General features: G+C 39.6%; 1 protein-coding gene and 1 long non-coding RNA gene across 5 annotated transcripts in view; one reads left to right on the forward strand and one right to left on the reverse strand.

Moving 5' to 3' along the window:
* The window catches only part of LOC124902059 (uncharacterized), a 59,776-nt gene that overhangs the window by 25,677 nt on the left and 15,965 nt on the right, over nucleotides 1-18,134 (reverse strand). The gene's annotated exons all lie outside the window — the stretch shown is intronic.
* The window catches only part of TUSC3 (tumor suppressor candidate 3), a 434,904-nt gene continuing 423,008 nt past the window's right edge, over nucleotides 6,239-18,134 (forward strand). For 3 of the 4 annotated variants that reach the window (NM_001413672.1, NM_001413671.1, NM_001413669.1), the window contains exon 1: nucleotides 6,239-6,356. Coding sequence is in view for 1 of the 4 variants with exons in the window: in NM_001413670.1 (NP_001400599.1) it covers nucleotides 11,894-11,971 (78 nt within the window). In the remaining 3 variants the exon portion in view is untranslated. Of the gene's footprint in view, nucleotides 6,357-11,878; nucleotides 11,972-18,134 lie in introns of all 4 variants that reach the window. The other variant, NM_001413670.1, reaches the window with a different exon arrangement.

The following is an 18,134-nucleotide window of genomic DNA, read 5'->3' on the forward strand; positions in this document are numbered from 1 at the left end:
TGCACTCCACCCTAGGCGCAAGAGCAAAACTCCGTTAAAAAAAAAAAGGCAATATGTTCCCTATAGCTTCTCCTTTTACCTTTTGGCTTTTGCTATCTTCCTGCTGATTAACCGCCATCCACTCCTGAGGCCCCCACAATGCCTTCAGTCATTCAAAGACTACCTTCTGAAGCAAAGGGAGTTTTTTGTTTGTTTGTTTACTCGATAACTACTTCATGATTGGAACTTCACTTCCTCACCTTCTGTTCCGTCTGGGCTGTATACTACTGAAGCAATGAATGAATACTCACACAATAGCATTTCTCCTGTGGTAGTTTGCCAATCTTTTAGGTCACCCATTTACCAGTTAAAATTCGGTATCTCTCAAAACTCATTAAGTGACACTAATGCTAACCATTCCAGGCCCTTTGGTAGACTTCTGGGACAGATAGTCCTTGGACCACAGAGGCAGCTACCTTGCCAGCTCTGTGTAATGCATTTTCCCTCCCTTTTATATACCTTTCCCCACCGCAACACCACCACCTATGAACAAACCTACAGAGAATTTTCTCCACAGATTTATGACAAGCCCTTCTCTGATGAAAAGGTCAAGAATCAGTTAATCAGCAAGTTAACAGCACCAATATGTTCCCTAAAATGTACTAGGCACCTTGGGGATATTAAAAAAAAGTGAAACTATGGTTATAGGCAAGAATCCTAATCCCCTTTGGTAGCTAGAGAATAAGCTGACAGCAGGCTCTCGTGGGGGCACTTGTAATAAATGTTGAAGGAGTTAGAAGAGAGAAGAGGCTGCAGATGTATATGTATTCTATAGTGGCTTCAGTGCTTGCCCGAATGTCAGAGGAGATGCGACTTGCTCAAAGCCTCAAAAGGTGAAATTATTTGGATGGATAGTTAGTAAGTGGCCACACCAGAAGGTGCATAGACATGAAATGTGTGATTTTTTTTTAAGCCAGTGAAGTAGCCAAAAACAGTCACAGTAAAAATACTGTGAGCCAGTCATTCTGGAATCACTGATGTTGGCACTCCTTGGAAGCACAGGTGCACAGTGAATAAAAACTCCAATAGTCCTGGGAGAATGGTCTAAATAAGACGTGGGTTTTGAGAATTTTTTAAAAGCTGTGCCGTACTTAGAGAGGTGGTCACACAGAAAAAAAGATCAAATGGTGTCTCTAGTTCTGGCGGGCTTCAGACATTGCTACCATGCCCAGGACAGCTCTCCTGGGGCTAGTCCCACCCATTACTCAATTCTAAACCCACCTCCACAAACTGGATGGCTTAAAACAACAGAAATTTATTCTGTCACAATTCTGGAGGGTAGAAATCTGAAATTAAAGTGTCCACAGGGCCGGTTCCTTCTGAGGGATCTAAGGGATAATCTGTTATATGCCTCTTTCCTAGTAGGATTTTGGCAGCAATCTTTGGCGTTCCCTGGCTTGTAGATGAAACAGTCCAATCTCTGCCTCTGCCATCTCATGGTCATCTTCTCCCTGCATTTCTGTATGTCTTCACGTCGCATTCTCCTGTGTCTATCTCTTCTTATAAGGACATCATTTGCCTTAGTTCAGGCTGCTGTAACAAAAATACCAGTGACTGGGTGGCTTAAACAGCAAATATTTATTTCTCGTAGTTCTGAAAGTGGAAAGTGTGAGATCAGGGTGCCAATATGGTTGGGTTCTTGGTGAAGTCCCTCTTACTGGTTCTGGTTTACAGAGCTCTCTTTTTGTATCCCAACATAATGGAGCGAGCAAGCGAGCGAGCGAGAATATATTCTCCCATGTCTCCTCTTAATAAGGGCACTATCCCATTCATGAGGACTCTACCCTTATGATCAAATCACCTCCCAAAGGCCCCACCCCCTAATATCATTACATTGGAGGTTGGGATTTTAACATATGAGCGGAGGACCATTCAGTCTATAGCTCCAGTCATATTGAATTAAGTTTCCACCATACTACAGTATTACCTCTTCTTAACTAACAGCATCTGTAATGACCCTATTTTCAAATAAGGCCACATTCTGGGCTACTGAGGGCTGGCACTTCAATATATCTTTTGAGGTACGCAAGACCCATAACCGTCTGCCCTCTCTGTCCCTGCACCCCAAATTCCTGTCCTTCTTGGAAGCAAAATACATTCACTTCCATCCCAACATCTTCAAAAGCCTTAACCTATTCCAGCATCAATTCTAAGTCCAAAACCTCATCTAAATATAGCCAACTAAAAAAGTACTAGCTCTCATGATCTAAATCATCCAAACTCTACCCATATACAAGTCAGATTCTAGATAGGCTCCATCTTGTGGCAAAATTCCTCTCTCCATCTGTGGACCCGTGAAACCAAACAAGTTATGTGCTTCCAAAATGCAATGGTGGAACAGCCATAGAATAGATATTCCCATTCCAAAAGGGAGAAATTGGAAGGAATAAAGGAGTCACCAGTCTAAGGCAAGTTTGCAACCCCGCAGGACAAATTCCATTGGGTTCCGAGGCGTAAGACTAATTTACTGAGGCTTGATGTTCTGTCTTCTGGGACCACTAGGGCAGCACCATCCCCTCAGCTCTGGGTGGCAGCCGCATTTTCTGGAATTAAGGAGGCAGGAGCCCTGTCCCCTGGTACTCTTTCTGGCCTCTGCATTCATAGCTGTGCCCCCTGAGTCATTCTTCCTTCATTTTATTCCATCTCTGTCCCTTTCAGTCCAGGCTGGCTGTGTTTCTGCTAGTATAAAAATCTCAAAAATTTGGTCTTTGACCCTATTGGTTGTTCTCCTGTAGATGTTGGTGTCATAAGAGATCCACACCATTAGATACAAAGACTCTCCACAGATATTTCCTGGATAACAGCATCTCTGTTCCTAGCATCTGCTGAGATGGTTGATTGGATACAAGAGTCACACACCTAATCTCTGTAGCAAACTTTTGTCTAGGCACATCCTTGACCGTTAATAGAATACGCTACCTGGATACACTAAAGTTTTTTCCAAAATATCAAGTTCTGGCTCCTTTTTGCTTACCACTTAATTCTACAATGTATCCATTTCTTCTAGTAGTTTATAATAGGCACCAAAGACAAACCAGGCTTCACCTTCCATATTTTTCTTGGAAATCTCCCCAGCTAAATATCCAAGTTCATTACTTGCACATTCTACTTCTCACTGCTGAACAGCAGAACACAATTCAGCCAAGTTCTCGGCCACTTAATAACAAGAGCTGTGTTTCCTCCATTTTACAAAAACATGCTCCTCAGATCTGCTTGCAACCTCACCAGAGGCAGCTTTACCCTTCCTATTTTTAGTAACATTCTGTTTGTGTATTCTCTAAGATGATAGGAGCTTTCTCTGCAGCCCTCCTCACTTCTTTTTGAGCCCCAGAACTGCCTTTAATGTTCATATTTCTGCCAAGAGTCTCTTCAAGGCAATCTAGGCTTTTCTATCATGCACCTCAAAATTCAGCCTCTATCCATTGCCCAAGTTCAAAGCCACTTGCACAGTTTTAGGTATTTGTTACAGCAACACCCCTCTTCTTGGAACAAAAATCTGTATCAGTTTCCTAAGGCTGCTATAACAAAGTACCACAAACTGGTGCCTGAAGACAAGAGAAACTCATTGTCTCACAGTTCCAGAGTCTAGAAACCTGAAGTCAAGGTGTTGGCAGGGTTAGTTGTTTTTTTTTTTTTTTTTTTTTTTGAGGGTTCTAAGGGAGAATCTGTTCCATGCATCTCTTCCAGCTGCTGACATTTATCAGCAATCCTTAGCATTCCTTGGCTTGTAGACACATCACTCCAATCTCTGCCTCTGTCATTTGATGGTCTTCTTTCCCCGCATTTCTCTGCTCCTTCAGATTCTTCTCTCCACGTGTTTCTCTCCTCTTATAAGGATGCCAGTCACGTTGAGTTTCTTCCTACTCCCTTGTGACTTCATCATAACCAATTTCATTTGCAACTCATTTTCAAATAAGATCACATGCTGAAGTACTGAGGGTTAGTACTTCCACAGATCTTTTGGAGGGACACAATTCAACTCACAATAGTGTGTAACTTGAAAAATGCAATAACTCAGAACTCCTGGGTATGATGTCCCCTCAATTAAGCATGATAATGGTAAATTACCTTTCCAAAAAGAACCAGATAAAGGCGGCAGCTGGCACAGAGAAATGTCTGTATACCTATAGTTCACACATGAGGTTCAGGGACAGATCCATGATATGGCAAGGGGTGGGAGATTCTTCATACCCCTGTAACCCTCATCTTTACCCAGAAAGACTTAATTGTTAATAGGGATGCTCATGTGTTATTAGTGGGCCTCTGGTCATCTCCATTAGATCATCATCTGCTTAATCAGAATTAGTCCAACCTCCGTTACCTTCTGTATTTAAAGTGGTAGTAACTGAAAAAAATCTTTAACATAAAGGTGCTAGTCACTTTGACTTGGAACCTAACTCTCAGTGATTAGCGACTCTAGTGTGGCATATTGATTCTATTAGTGGACCAAATTTCTCATGTCTTTCTGTATCTATGCCCTTTGGTATACACTCTGATTCTGAGCTTGGCCAAGCCATTCGCTTTGGCCAATGGAATAGTAGTAACTTTGATTCAAGCAAAGGCTGCTTGAAAAATCCCTTGCATATTTCTGCTCTTCCTCTCTCCATTTTTCTCCTCTGCCTTTGACTTGAGAACATGCCAGTATGGCCAGGCTAGATGACTGGAAGATGAGACACAATATGCACAGTCTAGGCAGGTATCCCAGGTGAAACCCTAGACACCTGAGCATGCCCTGCCAGTGTCAGCAAAGCCACCTAGTCAATCCACAGCTAACCACAGCCACAAGAGTAAGCCCCACCATGCCCAGCTCAGCAGAACCAACTTGCCTATTAGTTTGAGAGAAATAGTCAGTAGGTTTTTTTAATCTACTAAGATTTTAGGGTATTTTCTATGTACTAGTATTATGGTAACAGATTACTGAATCATACAACAACCAATGCCATTCTATCACCCATATTTCTACTGCAGCAACAGAATATGGCCAACATGTGTGCTTCAAATAAAACTCAGGACAGTTTGACGCAAGTGTTCATAACAGAAAGAGTACATTTTGTGAGGGGATAGATTGTATTTCTGCATTTCTTATGGAGAGCAGTCTTCTTCCTGTAACTCAAGCCCATTGCCAAGTCCCTAAAACAAATCAGATTCTTAATAAATATTTTTAAATTAATGAATGAATGATTTTTTCATGAAGCATCTCATAAGTAAATGGAAACTGCAAAAAAAAATGATGTGTTACACTTCTTATATTTCCCAATTTTGTAATTACAGTGCTGACCGTGTAGTAAGAACTCAATAAACAGTACTTGCTAATTTGTTAATTGATTGATGAGACTCAGCCACTATCAATTACCACTGAGGAATGAACCAAGAAGCAGAATTAAACTTCATTAAGAAAGATTTCATTAGGCTCATAAGACTTTTGTGACTTTCAATGTTCCTAACTACCAGAAAAGGATATTTTATTGCCTGTCTGGGGAACTAAAGCCTCTTATATGTTTTGCAAAGTAAACTTTCATATGGGATGTGTAATGTCTTCCACAGTCATGTCATGGATTAATTATTGTTCATTTTTTTTATTCTATGTTCATTCTATGCTCACATGTCAACTACAAGTTCTTATATAAGACAAAAAGGGTGCCTTAAATTATGTGCTATTTTGGTCCATAAAATATTTAAAGAAAAAATTTATTTCAGATATGAGAGTAGTATTTTATGAAATAATATCAAAATGAAAACACTGGCAAGAGCTACACATTCATTAAGTATTGATGGAACATCCACAATGTACAAGGCAAAATGTTTGGGGCTGGACAAGGTACAAACTCTAATTTCCACCCCTGAGGAAGAAGAAACGGGCAAATAACTGACTATGACAATTATGATGTTATCGGGGCATATATATGGTAAGAGGAAATAATTAACTGCGTGGAAAAAAGGGAAAGATTTCATGAGGGCTTCAAGATGTGAGCTGAAAATAAGCGAAAATTAGCCAAGTAGAAAAGGAGAGGAAGACTGATATGGTTTGAATGTGTGTTCCCTCCGATATCTCATGTAGAATTGTAATTTCCAGTTTGGAGAAAAGGCCTGGTGGGAGGTGAATTGGTCACGGGGGCAGATTTCCCCTTGCTGTTCTCAGGATAGTGAGTGCGTTCTCGCGAGATCTGTTTGTTTAAAAGTGTGTAGCACCTCCCTCTTCACTATCTTCCTCCTGCTCTGGCTGTGTGAAGATCTGCCTCCTTCCTCTTCGGCTTCATGCATGATCGTAAGTTTCCTGAGGCCTCCTCAGCCATGCTTCCTGCATAGCCTGCAGAAATGTGAGTCAATTAAACCTCTTTTCTTTATAAATTACACAGTCTCAGGTATTTCTTTATAAAAGCACAAGAACAGACTGATACAGAGAATATCTAGGCAAAGATAAACTCTGCAAAGTCACAGTGAGTAGCTCAGTCTGATGATTCATGGACTAAATGAGATCAGGTGTCAAGAGAGGAGGCTGGAGCATAGACTTGGATCCTGACCTGTAAAACCACAGATGTCCAGCTAAGAGGTCATATGACGGCAAGTCACTGAAGGCTTTCAATTTCATTTGCAATTTAAACGCTTACTCTAGGGAACGTTGTAAAGAAGGAGTTAGGGTAAATATATACTAGAGAGAAAATATTGCTGCATATTCACATGTGAAGATGCTGAGCACTCATCACTGGCAGGCTGTGCTTCAGGACTTCAAAGAGATAGTATGCACAGCTGGTAGGATATTCTGTGGCTAGCCAGCTGTAATCATTTACAGTTAATGTTCCTGATTGGCGTTGGCTTATGGTTAAGCTGTTGTGCTGTTGAATAAGACTGCGGCCTTTCTCTTTCACTCTCAGTATGGAGCTGTCTTAATTAAGTCAAGGAAAGGAAGGAAGGTACAGGAGCCTGCCGATATTAATGAGATGTGGGAAAGTTCTTTGCAACATTACAGAAACAATTATTAAAACTCTACATGCCTGGGAAACTCTGACACTTTATAACACTTGAAAACAAAAGCTTCCCAGGTTCCGTTAGATAGACAGTTACGAGAATTTCATACTCAATAAAAAAGGAGAAAACTACTATTTTATGTCAAGGAAACCAAGAATTAGTAACAAGCACAATAAATCAGCTCATCAACAACAGTCATTGAGCACCTACTATGTAATTCATCATTAAATGTGTTTGGGGCTTTTGTGGGTTGGTCAGCTCCTATAGTAGCCTATTAGTAAAATGCACAGTTTATCTGCCCTGTTATAACAATAGGTGGTATTCGTAACTGCACACAATGAGTAACGTAAACAAAAGGTCCTTTTTAAAATATATGTTTTCCCAACATAGATGACGCATTTTTTTTCAAACAAAATCATTTTTTATCTGCCAGAAACTCTGAAAGTTTTAGGTCTTTACAAGTATTTACTTCAAACAGTATTTCTCAAACTACTGCTACTTGTGAAACGTTTATTTTACAAAACTGTCATTAATCCCACAGGGCTGTCAAGAAAAACTATTAATAGCTAGAGAGCGAAAAAATTAGAAGTTGAAAGATTTTATATCAGAAAACAAAAGTTATAAAATCGGCAGCAAAAGACAAGGAGGAAGAATGTGAAATAGGAGGAGAGTAATCGGTCAGATGAAATTGAAGTCAACAAGGTTAAGACGAAGAGCTCAATGCTGTTTTTGTCAATACCTAAGAGTTAAAATTAAGAATTAAAGATTAGGCCAGGCACAGTGGCTCATGCCTGTAACCTCAGCATTTTGGGAGGCCAAGGCAGGAGGATTGCTTGAAGTCAGCAGTTCAAGACCAGCCTGGGCAACATAGCCACACCTTATCTTTACAAAAAATTTAAAACTTAGCTGGGCATGGTGGCACATGCCTGTAGTCCTAGCTACTTCAGAAGCTGAGATAGGAGGATCACATGAGCCCTGGAGGTTGAGGCTGCAGTGAGCCATGATCAAACACTGCACTCCAGCCTGAGCAACAGTGCAAGACCCTCTCTCTTAAGGAAAAAAGAAAAAAAGAATTAAAGGTTAAAAGTATCTTGCAGCCAAATTTCATGTGGGCACCATATTACAATGATACATTTCCCTCTCTCCAAGTAACCCCTTTGACCTTGCTGTGTAAAGAAGTCCATTTTGTCTCATCTCTGCGAATAAAGAACCTGAATGTAACTGTGAGAAGGGAGAAAAAAGTCTTCTGTTCCACGATAAAAGATTTGGCAAGAATAGAGATTAAAAATACTTTCACCAATTGTCAAGTGTCACAGTGTTTTAATTAGAGAGAAAAACAGGTGACAGGAAAGAATGAGCTATTGCAGTACTTCAGCTGTTGCATAACTTTCCGTGCAATCAATGTCTAGAAAGACATTTGAGTTCAGTATATCTTATTGCTGAAGTCAGTTATCTTCTGATTTTTAGTCTTTGCTTCTTTGAGGCGCCAGCAATCATAATATTTTAGAATGTTTATTCATAAATTTAGCAAACATTTGTGGAACACATGTGCCAAATTTGATGTGGCAAGTTTAAGAAAAACAGCAATAAAATTCCTCCTTTTAAAAAGTTTTCAGTCTACGGTTATACGTGTGTGAAAAAAACACTAAGCAAGCAGTGAATTCAATTAAATAATGCAAACACAAATGTCAAAGGTGTTCATCCCTTACATTTAAAATTTAACTGAGAGTTTTAGAAAGAAGACAAGAGTATCTCTATGACTTTATACAGCTTGTCTTTGGCATAAACTAAGTCTCAGTTTCCTAATTTGTAAAATAAGGGTAGGTGTTTAATATTAGCTATTTCTCAGCCCATTGTATGGTAAGAACAGTGGGGGTAAAGATTACTTCATACAATGCATTATAAACATATTGAGAACATCTGTATTTTTCTGAGTATTTGAATTGTCTTTTATAAATCTTTATTCTTAGATTCCCCAAAGCATTCCACATATTTAATTGAAATCAGTGAGTAAAGGACAATATATTTCAATGAATTCATTCATTGAATGAATTTTTGATCCCATTATATGTATCTGTGGATAGCAGGAAATAAATATATTATTTTTGATGTAATGATGCCAAAAACACTATAACAAAGCTTATGCATACACACTTTATGGAGTATTGTGGTGGCCTTTGAGAATTCACCTTTAGAGAGTTATATTTTGGTGACATATCATTGGCTTTTATAAAGGTCACATTAAATAAGAGTTCTATGTGGCCAGGTACGATGGTTCATGCCTGTAATCCCAGCACTTTGGGAGGCCAAGGCAGGCAGATCACTTGAGGTCAGAAGCTGGAGACCAGCCTGGCCAACATGGGGAAACCTCGTCTCTACTAAAAATAAAAAAAAATTAGCCGGGCATGGTGGCAGGCACCTGTAGTCTCAGCTACTTGGAGGCTGAGGCAGGAAAATCACTTGAACCTGGGAAGTGGAGGTTACAGTGAGCCGAGATCATGCCACTGCACTCCAGCCTGGGTGACAGAGTGAGACTCTGTCTCATAAAGAAAAAAAAAAAGTTGTGTGGAATCTGCTTCTGTATGAAACAAAACTTGTGAAGTCATTTCCCCTAACAGTACCATTTTTGTCTGCCTCCAGTTTCTGCAAAAATTCCTCTGAAGATTATTATTTTCCTCTTTACCTGAATTCCTCCCTTCTCTCTCAAACCATCTTTAATCATGATTCTCTTTCCCACTCCTACAAAGTACCTCTCTGGAGGTTACCAGCAGCTTCTTGTAACGGCACAGTTTCACAGTGGTGTTCCCTGTCTCTTCAGTGATGCACTTTCTTCACTTGGCCTCACCCCACGCTCCTTTGTCTTAGCTCATAGGTCACTTGTTCTCAGTCTTTTATGTTGATTCGCTTCTCCCTAGACTCCTAACTTTAAAGTGACCTGTCTCAGTCTTTAATCTTCTACTCTTTAACAACACACAATTCCTTGGTGATTTAATCTAGTGTCTTTGATTTAACACCCTTTATATGCAAGTGACACTAATTTTTTATCTCTTCCCAAGACTTCTGTCTTGAACTCTGCACTTATATATCCAACTGCCTACTCACTACCTCTGCTAGAATGTAACATAGTCATGTCCAAATTAATACATCCAAAACTGAGCTACTGATTCTGCAGTTCTTCCCCAGAGTATTCCATTCATATTCTTCCTTATAGTTAACTTCCTTATAGTTAACTTCCTTAAAGTTAGATCTTGTAACCCCTCTGCCCCTGCAACATCCCCCTCATCTCATTCAAAGTAAAAGCCAAACTCCTCACCATGGCCTACCAGGCCCTATCACATCCGACTCTATTACCTTTCTAATTGAATTTCTACTACTCTGAATTTATTCTGCCAAGAACACAGGAGACACTACCTTTGAGCCCTTACGGTAGTAACTCTCTCTTGCTGCAACACTCCTTCAGACACCTTCATTTGCCAACCTCTTCACTCATCAAGTCTTTGTTCAAAAAGGCAACACCATCTTATTAAAGACACTAAACTGCATTCCTAGTCTAGTCCCCTTTGCCCCATTCTACCTTTTTATCACTTATTGCCATCTGAAACACTGTAAAATTTATTTGTTTTAGTTATTTGTTATTGTCTCTATTTCCCAGCTAGAATGAAAGCCCCAAACAGAAGGGAATTTTTGCGTTTTGTCCACTAATGGGACAGTGGGAAAAAATATATAACAGATACTGAATGTTAAAGGTGCCTATTCATGCATGAATGAAATAGAGCTGAAAGAGAAAGAAAATGAGGTCTCCACGTCATCTGAGACCCTGGATCATAGACCTAATGTGGCATATATGGTATAGGATGACACGTGCCTAGTCATGTTGTAAAAAAATTCAATTTAAACTAGTCTGATTTTATGTTTTCTTAAAATGGAATGTAATAATTATTTGTTGAATGCATCTTGAATTCAATTGTTTTCTTTTAAAAAATCACTGCCACTGTCTTCTCTAGGAGCCAGTGTCTTCTCTGGGAGCATCATAATGTACTAATTATACTTATTGTTCCTTTCCTTTCTTGAGTTCCAAACTACATTGCACTTTAACTGTCTCTAGATTCTTTTCTTTACCCATCTTTCTGATACTCTTATACCCCCACTCTGCCCAAAATAGCTCTTTTCTAAATTTTGCAAATAAATTCAAATTATAATCAATGAAAAGTTTACAGATACTATGGTTTTTTATGTACTGACTAAATTAATCTCATGTTACTATTCTTGTGTGAGTTTATGATATGAAGTAGTAAGTAAACAAATTTCTCAGCACTTCTGTTGGTTTATTCTGTTTTATCCTATTCTATTACATTATGTTCCATTCTGTTGTTTAACCTAATACCACATGGTATCCATTTCTATCACTTTATAACACGTCTTCTTACCTACTAGAGAGATTACTCCTTGTTCTTCAAGAATGGGGACCGGCAGAGTAGGTGGCAGGGTAATGGAAGAGATGGTCAAAGGATGCAAAATATTAGTTAGAAGATATAAGTTCAAGAGCTCTAGTGTACAATAAGGTGACTATAGTTGATAACAATGTGTTATATTCATAACATTTGCTAAGACGGTAGATTTTAACTGCCTTCACCACAAAAACAACAATAAAAAAGTATAGTAATGCATCTAGTTTTTGGTTGATTGGTTGATTGGTTGGTTGGTTGGTTGATTTTGTGACAGGGTCTCACTCTGTCACCCAGGCTGGGGTACAGTGATATGATCAAAGGTCACTGTAGCTTCAATTCCCCCAGGCGCCCCACCTCAGCCTCCCAGGTAATTAAGACTACAGGCACCCACCACCAAACCCAGCTAATTTTTGTATTTTTTGTAGAGATGGGGTTTTGCCATGTTGTACAGGCTGGTCACAAACTCCTGGGCTCTAGTGATCCACCCAACTCGGCCTCCCAAAGTGCTGGGATTACAGGTATGAGCCACTGCGTCCACCCAGTATTAATTCACTTAATTTACCTATGCCACAGTGTATTTATATTTCAAAACTGCATGTTGTAAATGATAAATATATACAATTTTTATTTCTTGACTTAGTAAATATATAGAAATTTCTATCAAAACATGAGGTGGAAATGTTAAAAGTTTTTTTTAAGAAAAAAGTGTTTCTTAGTTTCTTATAATGTTGGACCTTTCCATTTTCACTACATTTTAGAATCTGTTCATTTGCACATGTACAAGCACAGGTTCAGTGCATACATGGTACAGACACACATAGATCCATATGCGGGATTTGATTTGCTAATATTTCTGCATCTATGATAATGAGAGCTGTTTCTCTGTATCCTTTTTTGAAGTGTCTTTGTAGGATTTGGTTTGATCAATTTAAAGTGAGTTGGACTATGTACCCTCATTCTGAATGTCAAGGTCAACCTTACTTTTCGGATACTGTCTCCTAGATTTTTCTACCTAGTGCGTTCCATAAGTCTGTCGTAAGTTCAGCCTCTTTGGGAATCAGGAAATGCACCCAGGGGAACAGCATCTTTAAGTTCAAAATTGTATTCTTTCGATTTCCGTCTTCTGGATTTGGCCCAGTAATTTTTCAATTTCTTGTTAGCTGCCAGTTTGATTTAATTCTTACTCGATTTTTCTAGTTGTCCTTAGCAGATGAGGAGGTTTGAAATACCTGCTCACCATTACTAGAAGTGCACATCCTTGCCCTGGTTCTCTCTTGATCCTCCTAAAGCGGGGAGAGTGGGCTTTCTCCAAGTGAAGGACAAGTCAGAGGTTTACCTTTACTCTCATTCTGAAGAAGTAAGTCTGAGGTAAATGGAAATTGTCCTGATATCCATAAACCTGTCTCGCTGTCTGGAGCCCTCATAATACAGGAAGGACTAGAAGGCTCAGTTTGTTTCTCTATTGAGAGAAGGCGGGATTACCCCTGTTGTGTGGGGCTTATTGACCAGGATGTTTCCAGGAAAGTCTTCGTTTTTTCTCTTACAGCATTCATACTGTTTTGCTTTGTTTTTTTTTTTTTTTTTTTTTTTTTTTTTTTTTTTTTTGAGAAGGAGTTTTGCTCTTGTTGCCCATGCTGGAGTGCACTGGTGCTATCTTGGCTCACTGCAACCTCTACCTCCTGGGTTCAAACGATTCTCCTGCCTCAGCCTTCCAAGTAGCTGGGACTACAGGCACACGCCACCACTCAGCAAAGTTTTGTATTTTTAGTATAGAGGGGGTTTCACCATGTTAGCCAGGATAGTGTCTATCTCTTGACCTTGTGATCTGCCCCCTTGGCCTCCCAAAGTGGCATTCATACTTTATACAATCAGAGAAGGTGGTCCCTGGCTGTCTCAGGAGTGTATCACCGCCCCTCAGCAACTCTAGAACAACCTGGAGCGTTGTTATTCCCCTCCCAGTATTTATCCATCTCAAAATAGGACATGACTAACAAAATCTGGACTATGTCTAGAGGGAGGGAGGAAAAAATAGGACACACTGACTAATAACTCACAAAACTAATAGGAAAAGGGATAGATGTGGTTTCTGAGATTAACGTTTCTGGGCAAACAAAAATGACATCTGCCCACCGCAGCAGACCCAGAACTACCATCATGAGCCTTACGGATGTTAAAGTTGATTAAAAAATCGTTAGTGGCTGGATGCGGTGGCTTACGCCTGTAATCCCAGCACTCTGGGAGGCCGAGGTGGATGGATCACGAGGTCAGGAGATCGAGACTATCCTGGCTAACACGGTGAAACCCCGTCTCTACTAAAAATACAAAAAATTAGCCAGGCGTGGTGGCACATGCCTGTGGGCCCGGCTACTTGGGAGGCTGAGGGAGAAGAATCACTTGAACCGGGAGGCAGAGGTTGCAGTGAGCCGAGGTAGCACCACTGTATTCCAGCCTGGGTGACAGAGCGAGACTCTGTCTCAAAAAAAAAAAAAGAAAACTCGTTAGTGCCCTCCACAATTGCTAGCATTAGGGAATGGGCAGACATGTACAAAAGAATTATATCGGTGATGGCATTGTATATTACAAAGGTCTTTAAAATGTGCTATTTGCATAAGGATGGAAGTGCTCAACTCTGCTTATGAAGGTCAGGAAGAATCCTAGGAATGAGATAAAAACTGACATCTCTTTAGGATTGAGTAAGCTTTGCAGAGGTAGGCAAAGGAAAAGTGTGATTACAATGAAAGGTAATGTCTTGCAAGCAAGGGGATGGGAGATTAAATGAAGTAGTCAAGTTTTCCATTTTCAATAAGAAATGTTAAAAGGAAACAGTGGAAAAAATGACAAAGCACTATTCAGGGCCCAGTTGAAGTTGGAAACTATAAATTGGTTGTGTTGCCAACCTCCACAGTTGTGTGATTCTTTTTCGCCCTTAAGAATGCTTTGGCAGACTGTTTCGTATTGATAGAGACAGATGGATATGCAACAAAGTGACATTTCCTCCTGAAAGAAGTGCCATAATCCTATGATGAAAATTAAGGGAAGACTTCTGGACCGAGAGAGAGAAAGATTTCTTTATTGGGGTATAAGAAGATGCAGAAGGCAAGAGAGATGGTTTTTCAAGTACAATATGTATGTTGCCTGAAAAACCCTTTGTTCTGGCACTGTGGGAAAGCTTTGGGAAACAGAAGTTTGTATGTAAGTTCAAAGTGTGGCCGAGTCTGAGCCACCAGGGCATGAAGTTAGAGAGGCAGTATGCCGAGGACCAATGGACCAGAGCCAAAGATTATATTATTCTCTACGTTTTATTAACAAATCTCTCATGGCTTTGATCTCATGGCTAGAAATTTCTGCACTAGTTAACCATCCCTGTGAAAAACAGGGGTTATTCCAAGCGGCCTGATGACTTAGACCCTACCACAAATATAATCAATGTATCCTATGTCAAACTCATAATTAAAATAGAAAAATAGGACAAGTGTGGTAGCTCATGCCTATAATCTCAACACTTTGGGAGGCCAAGGTGAGAGGATCGCTTGAGCCCAGGAGTTCAAGGCTGCAGTGAGCCATTATTGTGCCATTGTACTCAAGCCTGGACAACAGATTGAGGCTCTGCCTCTAAAAAATAATAAAATGAAAATAAAAGATCAAATAAAATAGTAAAATATATTCCTTTATTTTTAACAGCTGTATTTAGGTGTAATTGACAGAGAGCTGCATATATTTAAAGTGTACATTTGATGAGTTTGATATGCAAACATTTGTTATCCCATCATCACAATCAAGGTAACAGTCATGTCCACAACCTCTCAGTTTCCTTGTATTCGTTTGTTTTTGTTCTTGTTTCTCTGTGAAAAGAACACCTAACATAAAATCTACCCTCTTAACAAATTTTGAAGTCCAAAATACCATATTGTTAACTATAGGCACTACGTTAGACAGCTGATTTCTAGAACTTATTCATCTAGCATAAGTGAAACTTGATGCCCATTAAAAATTCCCCAGTTTCCCCAAATCCCATTATTGTATTCTTTATTGTATTCTTTGCTTCCATGAGTTTGACTGTTATAGATACCTCATGTAAGTGGAAGTCTACTATATTTGTCCTTCTGTGACTGGCTTATTTCACTAAGCATAATGTCCTCCAGGTTCATACACCTTGTCACAAAGGACAGGATTTCTTTCTTTTTCAAGACTGAATAATAAATACTGCATTATATGTTATTTCCCCATTCTTCTGTCAATGGACACTTGGGTTGTTTCCATAACTTAGCTTCATGAATGTTGTAATGAACATGGGTGAAGCTATCTCTCCAAGATCCTGATTTTAATTCTTTTGGACATATACTCAGAAGTGGGATTGCTAGATAATAAGGTAGTTCTATTTTATTTTTACCTTTTGAGGAACTTCTGTACTGTATGCCATAGCTACTACACCATCATATATTCCCACCAGCATTGTACAAGGGTTCCACATTTTCTACATCCTTTCAAATACACTATTAGCCATCCTAACAGGTGTGAGGGAAAAGATAATTGTAGCTTTCATTTGCATTTCCCTGAGCATTAGTGATGTTGAGGGTATTTTCATATACCTGGTTGGCATTTGTACGTCTACATTGAAGAAATGTTTAAGTCTTTTACCCATTTTTAAATTAGTTTTTGTTTGTTGTTTGGTGTTTGTTTTTTTTTTGCCATTGATTTGTAAGAGTTTCTTACATACTTTGGAAATTAACCCCTTATGAGATACATAGTTTACAAATACTTTATTTCATTCTACAGATTATATTTTCATTCTGTTGAATATTGTCTAACGGTGCAGAAGGTTTTTCCTTTTTTTTTTTTTTAGTTTAGTTTAATATAATCCTGTTACAGGAGGTAGCTGGTCAGGTATGAGCAGGGCAGGAGAGGGCTCCCACACACGCACACACCAGGAGTGTCAGGCAGCCATCAGGTGATGGACAAGCAGCTGTTAACTGCCTCTCTAGAATAATAAATGGTCATAGCTGGCACCAGGGAAAGGCAGTCTCCAATAGAAAACACCAGAAACTGGTAATGAGCAGCATCCCAGTAAGATCTCAGGGGTGTAGAGAGCTAACACCAGATGCCAGAAGTATGCCAACGTATAAAACCCCAACTTGACAGGTCAAGCCACGCACTTGGTCTCTCAAGTCGCCTGGTTGGCCTTCTTCCAAATGTACTTTCCTTCCTTTCATTCCCGCTGTAAAGATTTTTAATAAACTTTCACTTCTTCTCTAAAACTTGCCTTGGTCTCACCTTATGCCCCTCAGTCAAATTCTTTGTTCTGAGGAGGCAAGAATTGAGGTTGCTGCAGCCTCATATGGGTAACTACCACTGCTAACAGCCACACTTGTGTATTGTTACTTTTGTTGCCTGTGCTTTGTTGTCATACTCAAAAAATCTTTGACAACACCAATGTCAAGAAGCTTTTCCCCTGTTTTCTTCTGGTAGTTGTACAGTTTCAAGTTTTCCATTTAAGTCTTTATTCCATTGTGAGTTGATTTTTGCATACAGTATGAGATAAGGATGCAATTTTATTCTTTTTTTAAATTTTTTTTTTATTATTATACTTTTAAGTTTTAGGGTACATGTGCACAACGTGCTGGTTTGTTACATATGTATACATGTGCCATGTTGGTGTGCTGCACCCATTAACTCGTCATTTAGCATTAGGTATATCCCCTAATGCTATCCCGCCCCCCTCCCCCCACCCCACAACAGTCGCCAGTGTGTGATCGTCCCCTTCCTGTGTCCATGTGTTCTCATTGTTCAATTCCCACCTATGAGTGAGAACATGTGGTGTTTGGTTTTTTGTCCTCACGATACTTCGCTGAGAATGATGGGTTCCAGCTTCATCGATGTCCCTACAAAGGACATGAACTCATCCTTTTTTATGGCTGCATAGTATTCCATGGTGCATATGTGCCACATTTTCTTAATCCAGTCTATCATTGTTGGACATTTGGGTTGGTTCCAAGTCTTTGCTATTGTGAATAGTGCCGCAATAAACATACGTGTGCATGTGTCTTTATAGCAGCATGATTTATAGTCCTTTGGGTATATACCCAGTAATGGGATGGCTGGGTCAAATGGTATTTCTAGTTCTAGATCCCTGAGGAATCGCCACACCGACTTCCACAATGGCTGAACTAGTTTACAATCCCACCAACAGTGTAAAAGTGTTCCTATTTCTCCACATCATCTCCAGCACCTGTTGTTTCCTGACTTTGTAATGATCGCCATTCTAACTGGTGTGAGATGATATCTCATTGTGGTTTTGATTTGCATTTCTGTGATGGCCAGTGATGATGAGCATTTTTTCATGTGTCTTTTGGCTGCATAAATGTCGTCTTTTGAGAAGTGTCTGTTCATATCCTTTGCCCACTTTTTGATGGGGTTGTTTGTTTTTTTCTTGTAAATTTGTTTGAGTTCATTGTAGATTCTGGATATTAGCCCTTTGTCAGATGAGTAGGTTGCAAAAAATTTCTCCCATTCTGTAGGTTGCCTGTTCACTCTGATGGTGGTTGCTTTTGCTGTGCAGAAGCTCTTTAGTTTAATTACATCCCATTTGTCAATTTTGACTTCTGTTGCCATTGCTTTGGTGTTGTAGACATGAAGTCCTTGCCCATGCCTATGTCCTGAATGGTAATGCCTAGGTTTTCTTCT

This window comes from Homo sapiens, chromosome 8 (assembly GCF_000001405.40).
Source record: "Homo sapiens chromosome 8, GRCh38.p14 Primary Assembly".
NCBI classification, from domain to species: domain Eukaryota; kingdom Metazoa; phylum Chordata; class Mammalia; order Primates; family Hominidae; genus Homo; species Homo sapiens.